Source organism: Homo sapiens, chromosome 13 (assembly GCF_000001405.40).
Source record: "Homo sapiens chromosome 13, GRCh38.p14 Primary Assembly".
NCBI lineage: Eukaryota > Metazoa > Chordata > Mammalia > Primates > Hominidae > Homo > Homo sapiens.
The window spans coordinates 58,650,153-58,662,811 of record NC_000013.11 but is presented as its reverse complement, the minus strand read 5'-3'; the positions used below and the strand labels follow the sequence as shown (position 1 = coordinate 58,662,811).

At 36.4% G+C, this 12,659-nt stretch overlaps 1 long non-coding RNA gene across 1 annotated transcript in view; it reads left to right on the top strand.

The window, feature by feature from the left end:
• The window catches only part of LOC105370219 (uncharacterized), a 31,681-nt gene extending 21,996 nt beyond the window's left edge, over positions 1 to 9,685 (top strand). The window contains exons 2-3 of the long non-coding RNA XR_941985.2: positions 3,513 to 3,675; positions 9,562 to 9,685. This is a non-coding gene — a long non-coding RNA (uncharacterized LOC105370219). The remainder of the gene's footprint in view (positions 1 to 3,512; positions 3,676 to 9,561) is intronic.
• The last annotated feature ends 2,974 nt before the right edge of the window (positions 9,686 to 12,659 follow it).

The window sequence follows — 12,659 nt, the reverse complement described above, 5'->3', positions numbered from 1 at the left end:
CTTTCCTTCTTTCCTTCTTTCCTTCTTTCTTCCTTCCTTCCTTCTCTTTCTTTCTTTTCTTTCCTTCCTTCCTTCCTTCCTTCCTTCCTTCCTTCCTTCCTTCCTTCCTTCCTTCCTTCCTTTCTCTCTCTCTCTCTTTCTTTCTTTCTTTCTTTTTTTTTTTTTTGATGGCGTTTCACTCTGTTGTCCAGGCTGGAGTGCAGTGGTGCGATCTTGGCTCACTGCAACTTCCACCTCCTGGGTTCAAGCAATTCTCTGCCTCAGCCTCCCGAGTAGCTGGGATTACAGGCACCTGCCACCACACCCGGCTAATTTTTGTATTTTTAGTAGATACAGGGTTTCACCATCTTGGCCAGGCTTGTCTTGAACTCCTGACCTCAGGTGATCCTGATCCACCTGCCTTGGCCTCCTAAAGTGCTGGGATTACAGGCGTGAGCCACTGTGCCTGGCCAAGAGCAGAGCTTTCAATGGAGATTTTAAACAAGTGGGATCAAAATCCTAAAGCATTTATTTGAAGAAAACAGGAGATGAAACACGGCTTTACCAGTAAAGTCCTGAAGACAAAAACAAATGCAATGGCTGTCAAGAGGTGAAAGTGGCCCAGTCAAAGCAAAAAGGAATCAGTCAAGAGCAAAGTTCATGATAACAGATTTTTGGGGATGTTCAAGCTATTTTGCTTGTTGACTTTCTGGAAGGCCAAAGAATGATAACATCTGCTTATTATAAGAATATTTTGAGAAAGTTAACCAAAGCCTTAGCAGAAAAATGCCCAGGAAAGCTTCACCAGAGAGTCCTTCCCACCACAGCAACGTTCATTCATCTCATCAAAAAATCATAATTTTTCAAGAGTTTCAGTGGGAAATCATTAGGCATCCATTTTACAGCCCCGATTTGGCTCTGTCTGACTTCTTTTTATTTCCTAATCTTAAAAAATAAAGAGCACCCATTTTTCTTCAGCACCCATCTTTAATGTCAAAAAGACAACATTAAGATGGTTAAATTCCCAGGACCCTCAGTTTTTTAAGGATGGACAAAATGGCTGGTATTCTCACTTATTAAAGTGCCTTGAACTCCCCGGAGTTTATGTTGAAAAATAAAGTGTAATTTTTTCTTTATCTTTTAATTCCATTTTTCTATGAAGTTTGAGTCCTCTCATGCTTTAATGCACATCCCCTACTAAGTTCCTCAGAATAAATTCTTAACCTTTGTTAAAGATATGGCCATTTGCATAGTCCTTGATACAAATTGTCAAATGACCTCCAAAGAATTTGACGTGACATATGCTCCTAGTTGCTGCTTAATAAAATGTCTGTTTATTGTGCCTTTGGATACACTGAGTTTTAGCTAACAAACATTTGCCTTCTTGATGGATAAAAGCATACCTTTTTAAAATCTGCCTTTACTTGGTTAGGTCATCTTCTCCTATTTTCTTCCCACTATCAGACCCTCTCGAAAACTATGCTCACATTCCTCTGCCCCCCAGCACCTGTGACTCTTATTTTTTGGAGTTGGGTATTTTGTCTTTCATTATTCTCTTTCCAGTTTAATAGATAGCAGTAACTTTGTACCCTGCTAGCCTCAGATCCATTTTGGATGTAAAAACAAAAAAATACTAATGAACAACATTGACTTTTTTGCTCTTTCCATTTCCAGTGTAATAATCTTGGAAACAATCTGTCTCTGACTCACTAGGAAAAGGAAAGTCTCAAAGGAGGAAATGAATAAAAGAGAATCACAATAAGTTATATTTCTGGTTCCCTCATTACAACTTTATTTATTATTTATGCATCTTCTTTTGTGAAGTGTCTCTTTATCTCTCTTATCCTTTTCATTATTATTATTGTAAAGAACTAACCCAGTTTTAAAGAGCTGTCATTAGATTTTGACTTGGATCCCTCTTTTGATTTTCTTGGACAGATTTCCTACTCCCCAAAGAAGAGAAATTTTTGCAATAAGTTTAAAAGCTCCTGTTGATTAGAATTTTCCCACAGATTCTTATTCATTATTACTGTTATCAGTCCAGACCCGATCATTAACATAAGCCCTCTAGGGATTTTGAAAGTATCATTCAATCATTCACAGGAGTTTCAAATACAAATATTTTTTAAAAATCATAGTATATACAACAACTTTTGATCAGCACAGTGTAACTTGACATCCAAAATAATCTTGTTTTAAATTACATTTTACTCTGTAAACTGAATCTGAAAACCTATAGAAATATTAAACTCATTACACAGTATTTGGCGCTTCAAAAATATAAATATTTCAAAGTCCCCTTAGAGACATTTAGAAAACATCTCAGAACCAAGATTTATTTTCACTTAAGAGGACTTAGGGTTTCTCATGTGAAACACAGTTAGGGAATAGCTGATGTAGAAATCATTTCTTTGTCATTTAGATTATAATTTATAAATGGATTAGTGCTATGGGGTGCTAATTTTCTCCCGAATGAGAATCAGAGATACAAAACCTTGTAAATAATATTAAGATAAAAATACAGCTCTAGCACACCAGAAAAAAAAAATCATGAGAAAAAAAACAAAAATAGATTTACATCAACCTTTTTAATTTGTGACTTTAGGCCTTCTTCCAACCAATAAAAATCTTTAAAAACTAGCCCAAAAACAGTCTGTCTATATAACATTGGTTGAGTTAGATCTATTGTTTTAATGATTCAGAAATTTTCTGGGCAAAGTTGGTACAGTTCCAGATCAAGTGATAGCTTAATATGGTTATGAGAATAACTCATCCAAATTGATTATAATTGTTTGCTTTGCATCCACAAGCTTACAGTGGTACTGATAAAACTTCTTATTTTCCTAGGAATTACAAGGGTCCCCACAGAGCATTCTAGGGTCATTACAAGAAAACAAAGGAATGTGTAGTATGGTTTTTATTTTAACCAATATTTTCACTCTGCTCCTGCTGTGCATTATTTCCTAATTTTATAGGAAAAGAAGTCTGAGAAGTTCATCTTGTTTTTACTCCTGCCCTTCAACGGAGTATAATCCAATGAAGGGCAGGAGCAGCATCTCATTCCAAACTGTATCATTTGTTAACAGCTTAGTTTTTAATATATAACAGATGCTAAATAAATGTGTGTTGTTGAATAAATCACCAATCCATTATTTTTGTCAATCAATTTAGGGAAAAGAGTCAGTTGAGTTTCACTAGATTAGTATTTTAATTTGATCAAATATTTGTCCTACTAACTCATGCATACACAAATATCCAAAACTTTTTACAGGCATCTATTTGTCATTTCAAGTAAAAAATCATATGCATTTATAAAGTATTTTACTATTAGTATTATAATTGATATTTTAATTAATTTCAGGCAGAATATATATTTTCTTTCCCTACAAGAAATTCTTTTCAGATTTGGTAGCCCTTATATCAGGCATTTCTAATATCCATGAAGAATTAATTCGATCCATTTTTTTCCACCAAAATTTGCCATCTGACTTGATTTTAACAAGTTTTCCATCATTCCTTCTTTTCTTTTACAGGTTCAAGCCTTGTGCTTTGTTGCTTTGCTGCACTGGACTGATTAGGTGATGAGAATGGATGGGACTAAGACGGCTCAACAATTACCTTATGGAAATCTAAAGACAGCAAACCATGAACCAGACACACAGAAAGACAAAAACGTTTCCAAGACACACCAGGAGGGTAACTTCAAAAATATTAGTACTAATGTCAGTATTGAGGAAATTACTGCAACCATATAGAACTTTCACTTATTTTGAGCAGCTCTGTCATCATGCTGACCATGGGATCCAATGTATGTGCTGTTAATAATTGCATGCTTAGCAGGAGGCAACAATTGCTATAATTAAAAATTAGTTTCTATGTTAAAAAACACTCAATACTAGTAATGATGGACTTTTAAGCCATAACAGTAAAAATTAATGGGATAGATCATAGATGTGGAATATTGCAAAATGTATGAGATGAGATACTAGCTAATAATTTAGGCTTTTAATTGCAATCTTATTATCAACATTTTCCAAACATGTACTGAGCATCTAGTGACATATGATTCAAAACATACTGTATTAGTCCGTTTTCATGCTGCTGATAAAGACATATGAGAGACTGGGAAGAAAAAGAGGTTTAATTGGACTTAGAGTTCTACATGGCTGGGGAGGCCTCAGATTCATGGCAGGAGGGGAAAGGCACTTCTTACATGGCAGCAGCAAAAGAAAAATTAGGAAGAAGCAAAGGCAGAAACCCCTGATAAACCTATCAGATCTCATGAGACTTATCCACTATCATGAGAATAGCACAAGAAAGACCAACTCCCATGATTCAATTACCCCCCCACCGGGTCCCTCCCACAACACATGGGAATTCTGGGAGATACAATTCAAGTTGAGATTTTGGTGGAGACACAGCCAAACCATATCACATGCAAAAATAAATATATAATAGAGATATAAAATTTGTTATAGGACATTTTATGTAGTAAATTTGGGATTAAGTGAAGAGATTGTCAAGAGAACGAGAAGTCTGAATAATTTAGAAAAATATTCATATTGTTTTACATTTAGATCTGTTTTGATTTGTTTTGATAGTGTGATCAGGTCTCATTTCAATAATGGAAATACTGGAAGCAAAAGAATAGGGAAAAATCCAAGGACAGCCAAGATGTAAATTCAACAGTGAATAATTACGGGACAAACAGGACAGGCTAAAGTTTGCAAAAGGAGAGAAGGAAATGGGGAGAGGAACTGAACCACTCCTAGCATGAGGAACAAGTCCCTCAGAAATATGTCTCAAGTTATCTTGCCAGCAGAATCAGCTAGTGCAGCTCATCATAATCATTTCTGACAAATCCTTTTCAGTTTTGTATTACAAGACATTGTTCATGTGCTGCCCTCAGCCAGCAGTGCCCTATACTGTTTCATTAGCTACCTAAATCCTTCTCAAAAGTGAAGGTAAATTTTTGAATGAACTTTTCTGTGATCTTCTTAGGCAAAATAAGACTGTCTTACTAAATCACATTTGTAATATATTTCTTTTACCTCTATTTAGAGCTTCTGTAATTGTGTATGACATTTGAGTTTGTTATAAATGGTACCCTCCATTAAATGTTAAATTCCTTAAGACATAGACATATTTTTAGCAAAAATTTTATTCTCACAATGCCAAGAATGGTAAATCACACAAAGTAAATGTAAAAAATTGGTTAAAATTGAAGATAATAAAAGATAACTAATACAGGATGATATATTGAAGGAATTTGAAGAGGAGAACAAGGATCTTGATCCATAATATGATGGTAACACTCTAGAAAATAAAAATCAAAACGGAAACTTATGCTACAATGTGAATAAATTCCAAAAGCAGAGGAATGAACGTAATAAACCAGATATACCAGAGGACACATATGTATAATTTTATTTAAATAAAATTTTAAAATTTCAAAAGTAATATTTGAGGTTAGGATTCATGACATTGGCACTTTGGTTGTGACTAAAAGGAAGGAGTACAGGGCATCCATTGGGCTGCATATTCTCCTTTATATACATACTGGTCAAAGGAATATCTTCTACTTGTGAAGTTTGTTGAGCTTCAGATTTTGATTTGTGTACTGTTCTGTATGCATCTTATACTATTGAGAGCAGTTGGAGGCAGCCAAATACCTAGGCAGATAGGAGTGGGTACCCAGTGAAACCCCACCTACAAACCAAAGACAGTTTAAAGCCTGAAAGCAAAACTACACATGAAATGCTCTGACTGGATTGGGAACTTGTCTTCCTGTTTGGTGCACGTTCCTCTAATTGATCCCCACCCTTCACCTGTTTTACATATGCCTACCTTTTCCTAATTGGTTTTCTACACTGTCATACCCACCTTTGAGTAGGTGTCTTTGCTTTAACCTTTTTTGCATACTTACAAACCAATCAGCATGCATGCCCCATTCTGTGCCTATTACCCATCCTGTGCCTATAAGACCTCAGACTTAAAGGAAGATAATCTGTCCTTCCCATCCCCTCTCCAGCTTCCCTCTCTGCTGAGAGCTGTTTTCATCCTTTCACAAAATTCTCCTCTTTCACCACTCTTTAAGCATCCATGTGACCTCATGGTCATGAGGTTCTCTTCTTGGACACCAGACAAGAGCTCGGGACTCACTGAGGGCGGGTACCCAGAAAAGGCTGTCATATTGGCCCTTGACCTTGCAGGCAGAGGGCAGCCAGGCCAGGAAACAAGGGAAGGGGCCAACTGAGTGTCTAACATGCCACCGACATCAGACTATGGACAACATAACTAAAGGGCCCTTTCTGGGGCATGGGGTCACAGGCATCCTCACCCAGGTGCCACCACAAGGTGCCAACTGAGCTGCTAACACACCACCATCTACAGACGGTGGAACTAAGAGATCGCTGTAGCACCTCCTCTGGGGTTGTCATAGGCAACCCCACCTGGGTGTCGCCACAGGCACCTCAAGAAGCTTGCTCCTGTGTCCGTGCTTGGAACGTCTGGCGAATCCAGCACTTGCTCATTCACGTTCTCCCTCCTGAAAGGGGTTGAGTGCAGCGGGTTGAGTAAATGGGTTACCCCTGTCATAAGTTTGACGAAGGGAATAAGAAAAATCCTGAATCACTATGATAAAAAATTTTGCAACAGAGTATAGGTTAATGAAAGTCTGTGTAGGGAGCATGCTTGAAAGCAATAATGAAAGTGCCATGACACAGGTCTCAGTAGAATCTTTCATGAAAATATCACTTCAGGATACAACAGGCATAGAAATGGCAAAAGATGTAGAATTGTGTCTGTGTGTGTGTGCATGTGTGTATTCTCTGGTGTAGAAAACATTTGAAATGTCATACACTGATAGATATCTCAGGCCTTACAAAAATGACCCTCCACCACATTTGGTGATCAATAGAATGGGCTGTCTTTGAACAACACAAAATAAAACAACTCAGGTGATGGCTACATTTTGTTCAATACATTCTTATTATGATTTGAAACAACCTCAAAGTTTGTTAGAATATGTAGATAGCAATTAACATTTTTTAAAAAAGCAAAAAAGCTGATCACAAAACATTGGATTTTGTGGCTACAGGTAGACATGGACTGTGAGTCACTGGTAACATTTGTCACATTCAGCCCTTCAGACCAAATAGCACACCACATGGGAGCTGAACACAGTATTTAAGCTTGTTTGCAATATACTAGGAATTCAATTTTATTTTCTCCATCTGTTGTTATTTTTTATTTCTGATTCACAGTTTAAAACTAAACTGAATACCATTGTGTATGTTTTCTAAACGAGCAACATAATATGTGTGTTAAAATCCCAACTCTTGGCAGAGAAAAGAATACGTCGAATTTTCTTCATTTGAACTTTCCCTCCATTCAAATAAAAAACATTAGGTGAGTTCTAAACTCACAACTCATCCCTGACTGCCTATGCTTGAAGTAAAATTGCATTTTTGAAGAATTGAATACTTCTCTAGTTAACTCCCCCGTGCATAGTTATTCTACTTCTATTTTCCTGAAATGAGGAACTGCTATTGTGCAATGCATCTGGAGGTCATTAAAATGAAAGTTGGTAATTTCTGAGCATGGTGCTGATAATAAGATTTACTTTGTTTTATGGATAAGCTTTTATATAATTGTCCAGTTATTTTAGATGAATTTTCCAAAAACTAACAATAAATGTTGGCCTCTGCTAGCCAGACTAATGTGCCATTTATAGAAGTGGTACACAGACATGCTCATTGGCGTGGGATCTGTAAATGCTGTAAGAGAAAAGTAGTGGCTTTTCAGCCACAAAACTTTCAGATAATGCAGATATTTATTTATTTATTTATTGAGATAAGGTCTTGCTTTGTCACCCATGTTGGAGTACAGTGGTACAATCATGGCTCACTGCAACCTCTGTCTCCAAGGCTCAAGTGATCCTCCCACCTCAGCCTCTCTAGTACAGCTGTATGCCTCCATGTCTGGCTAATTTTTTGTATTTTTTGTAGAGAAGGGTTTTGCCATGTTGCCCAGGCTGGTCTCCAACTCCTAGGTTCAAGAGATCTGCCCACCTCGGCCTCCCAAAGTGCTGGGATTACAGGCGTGAGCCACTGTGCTTGGACTACCGTGGATTGTTAAAGAGTATCTTATTTACATTGTATTTATATTGAAATGCTTACTTTTTTACACACAATGCTGAACTGCTTATCTGGAATTTTGATAACTTTCCAAGGGTTTCCTTATTTGCATGGAAACAGCTAATGATTATGATTTTCTGATCTAAAACTTGGAAACCTTTGGCCTAATTTTCACATATTTTGAGATAAAAGTGATTGGGAAAGGTAATTATTCCAGTTACCTGGTAAAATAAAGAGCACCAGAGTTAATAAGGCATTTAATAAATTTTCTATGTCTAGTATCTAGTCCATGACACTTGTCCAGAGATTGGGCAAAGTCTTCTGTAAAGGGCAAAGTTAAAGTTCTGCTGCTGCCGTGCTGTAATTTTTATATGTTTTTAAAATAGCAGATCCAGCATTTTCATTTTGCACTCAGCCCTGCAAATGACATATCTGGTCCTGATACATATCATTTCATGTATAATTTGTCATGTGTTTTGCACCATTAGGGTTCTTGTGAAACCCTTCCTGGAAAATCAGATCATCATCTTGTCTGGGACATCATTTTCCTCATCCACTAGGTAGCATTGGATACCTTCACTTACTGTAAGCTTCCTGTGTACAGCATCACTGCATTGCTCCCCAAATTAATGTCAATTAAATAGTTCCCTGTTGTTTTTCAAATCAATAAATCTCTTTGAAGATGGAAATAAAAGTTACATAATTCATCCTATATCAGAGTCAGGGTTTGGCTGGGAAAACTGAAGCCACTGTAGGTATTTTTCTAATAGAGAGGATTTGATACCTCCCCCCGAAAAATGGTCACATAAGTGTTGGAAGGCTTAAACAACAACAAAAAAGAAAATGCTAAAGTGACACAGATATTAGTAACTACAGGAATCAGTTACCCACCCTTAGGGCTCAAACAACAAAGAACAAGATTGTAATCACTAGAACAGCATGGAAAGTGGTGTAGTGCCACTGGTGCTGGTGCTGGTACCTCTGACATGGAAGAGTGTTATAGCTGGTAATCTGACCAGCTGGTACCTCTGAGGGATGCATGGCAGGTGATAACAGGAATGCTGCAATGAGCTGGGGCCTGGAGTGGTACCTGGCCCCTGTTACAGGAAGGAAGCAGCAGAAACTGGAGACCAAAAAGAAATCTGTTTCTTCCTTGTCCTGCTTTCTAAACTCCCTCCAGGCTCAGACACTACCAGACAGTGAGGTAGCAATGAGTCTGGGAAACAGTGTGCAGACTATCAGTCTCAGTGTCACAAAACAGAATACAGAAAGTTAAGCTTGGGTTGAAAGGTAATAAGCCAATATATAAAATAAAATAAAATAACTTAGTTGTTCAAGAGAAAAATCAACAAAATATGTCTTTCATGCTTTCTCTGTAATGTATGCATAAAAAGGTAATAATATCGATACACTAAATGTATTATTGCAATTTATATTTTCTTAGGATGTTCCACTGTTTAAAATGGTGACATTGGGCTGGAAGCATAAGCCATATGAACCCTTTGGGGAGCAAAGGAAATCTAACTACCTTAATCCAGATGGTTTCTCTTTAAAGATTCTTCAACAAGACTTTTAGCTAGGTATCAAGCAGCCGACCACTCAAACTTGTACAACCTGATCAGCAATTAGACTCTGTTGCAAGTTATGTGACAATTCTTTCTAGAATCTGCTTTAGCAAGTGAGAAAACCCAAAGAAAAATCTTAAGTAAGCAAATAAATTACTTTTTAGAACTATTTAAAGAATCAAAGTGATGTTTGAAGTAGATAATTGAAAAATTAGTTTAATATATATCTACCTAGAAAGAAAGCCTGCATGTGACACTCTCTATCAGTGTTTTACAGGAATAAGCAAATTTGGTGACATTTCTAAGATGATACTATACTGTGTTGAATAAATAAATGATGGATATGGGCCATGAATGTAGGTCAGAGTATTCATGTTACCACTTAGGTCCCTAATCAAAAAGAATAACTCTTTTGATGACAAAAAAATCAATAATTAGAGAAGAAAGCTTCCTTTGAGGACTTTAAGGCAATGGCTTTAAAAGTAATATTTAGCCTGTGCAGACAGTCCCAGAGTGGAAGTACCAGAGTTTATATGCATGCATTTCAAAGGATAATATAGACTCAGATGAGTGAAAAACTGAATCTTTGGATTGTACCCTACTCTGCCAGAGGTCAATAAACATTGGCTTAGTTGTTAATCTTTAAGAGTTTTAGGAGCGGTTTACACATATGTACACACACACACACACACACACACACACATATATATATATAGCATTCAGCTCTTTTAAGAGAAAGAAGAGAGATATTTTGTGATTTTTCTTTTCAGCAGTCAAGAAGCAGTTTTTATCGTTAGGAGCTGTACACCGCACTGGATCAGTGGCTTTCAAACTTGGATGCAAGTTAGAATCACCTGTACAACTTTTGAAACACCAAGATCCAGAAATCATTTCTGAAAACTCTTATTTAGTTGGCCTGGAGTGTGGCATGTACACAAGAGTTTTTTAACCACATATTCCCAAATGCTTTTTATGTGAGGCAAGTGTTGAAAATCACTGCAACTAGTGTATTCTTGAGGACCCTGAGCATGAAATAAGATAATCTCAAGAGTCTTTAATGTTGCATTATTCCAACACCAACTATACTTTTAGGTTACTTGCTCTTAGAATTGTTACTCTAATTCTCTGGTCTGTTACAGCTATTGAAAATACTACACATTTTCATCTTCCTCTTACTATTCTCTTACAGCAATGGCATGTGACAAAGAATTTGAATTTTCAGTGGAGACTGTGAGGTTTAAGACTGTAAAGGACACATGAACCACCGCTGAACCACAGATCTCAAAGCCCCTGCTTTAGGACTACGGTTTCAAGAGATCACATTCTATGCAAAGAGTGCAAGTAGCTGGGTGCATTGTTACATCATCACATGATCACTTGCACACCTGCCAGCTCTTCTGTACAGACAAGTGGTTACTTCTTCACTCAGGAAGAATTGCCAGACCATGGTTTCTTCTGCCAGTTCAATTCCTATAATTTTAGTCGTGATAGTCTTCCAGGAATGCTTTTCTCCTTAATTTCTGATACCTACATAAATGAGAATTTGAATTCCTTATCACCATCCTGATTTCAGACCTGAAATTTTAAATATGAGATATTTAACTATGTTTACTATTTCCTGGTAACACTTTATAGCAGGAAAAATATCCCTTCTGTTTTTAAGGTGAATAAAATGAAGAGCAGATGATTCAGAAATGTTTGGTGTTATTTAATAGTCAGCATCAGAGCCAAGAATTTAAGACTTTGGGTTGGTATTGATAGTCTTCCAAGAATGCCTTGCTCCTTAATTTCTAGTATCTACATAAATAAGATATCAAATTTTTGACCATCATCTTGACTTTAGACCTGAAATTTGAAATCTGAGTTGTTTAACCATGTTCACCATTCCCTGATAACACTTTACAGGAGGAAAAAATATTCCCCTTTGTTTGGAAGATGGATAAAATGAGGTACAGATGATCCAGGAATTGTTTGATGTTATTTAATAGCAACAGCAGAGCCAAGAACTTAAGAATCCAGGTTTTCTGGCTCCTGGTGTAATGCACTATCCACCAGATCATTGCTGACACTCTCTAGTAATAGAAACACTGAAATGAGACATCTGTTAAATATTGTATGTGACAAATGTTCATATAAGTACTCTCAGGCTTACTAGGAACATTTTTAATACTGATATATTTCATGATACAATATGAAAGAAATACAGTGAAATATATATTTTTACAATATAAATTTTCAATTAATTTTTTATCATTTTCACTGGAGATAATGAATAGACCGAATATATTGCCTGTAAAATGTGAAGAACATGGTCTATCCTAGAGTGAGAAGATAATATTAGATGTTTATCAGCACCTTTAGCACCTTCTTCTGTGAAGTCAATATATAAATACACACACATACATACACACATAAAGATATAAATATATACACACATATAAATATATACACACACACATACACACATACACGTGTGTGTGTATATGTGTATGTATATGTATATATTTATAAATTGATTTCATAGAAGAGTAGCTTTAAAGGTGCTTATACATACATGGCTAATTTTCTATTTTGAATGGCAATCTTAACTATTTTGGGGAGTCAGGAGTCTAAACTTTAAGTAGAAAGACTGTTGTTTGGTGAAAAGAGCACCATGAAATTCACATCCATTGGTATTGCATCCTTGTCCCCTCTAGAGACTGTGTAATAAATTCCATTAAATTAGATTTCCCACATGCATCAGATTATGTGCAAACAACAGTGCCCAATATCAGCTATACACACTCTGTGTGAAAAAAAGGATTTGAGGTATACTGAATCCTTCTACTTTCCTTCAACAATGATCATTTCAACAAAGGTTCCTCTCATCAAATGGAGATTATTGTGCAGAACTGTCATTTGTTTTTAAGGCAAATGTATTGCACCAGAAAAATGAAGGCAAGTTTTTGTTACAGAGTTGGCTTTTCCTAATTCCTTC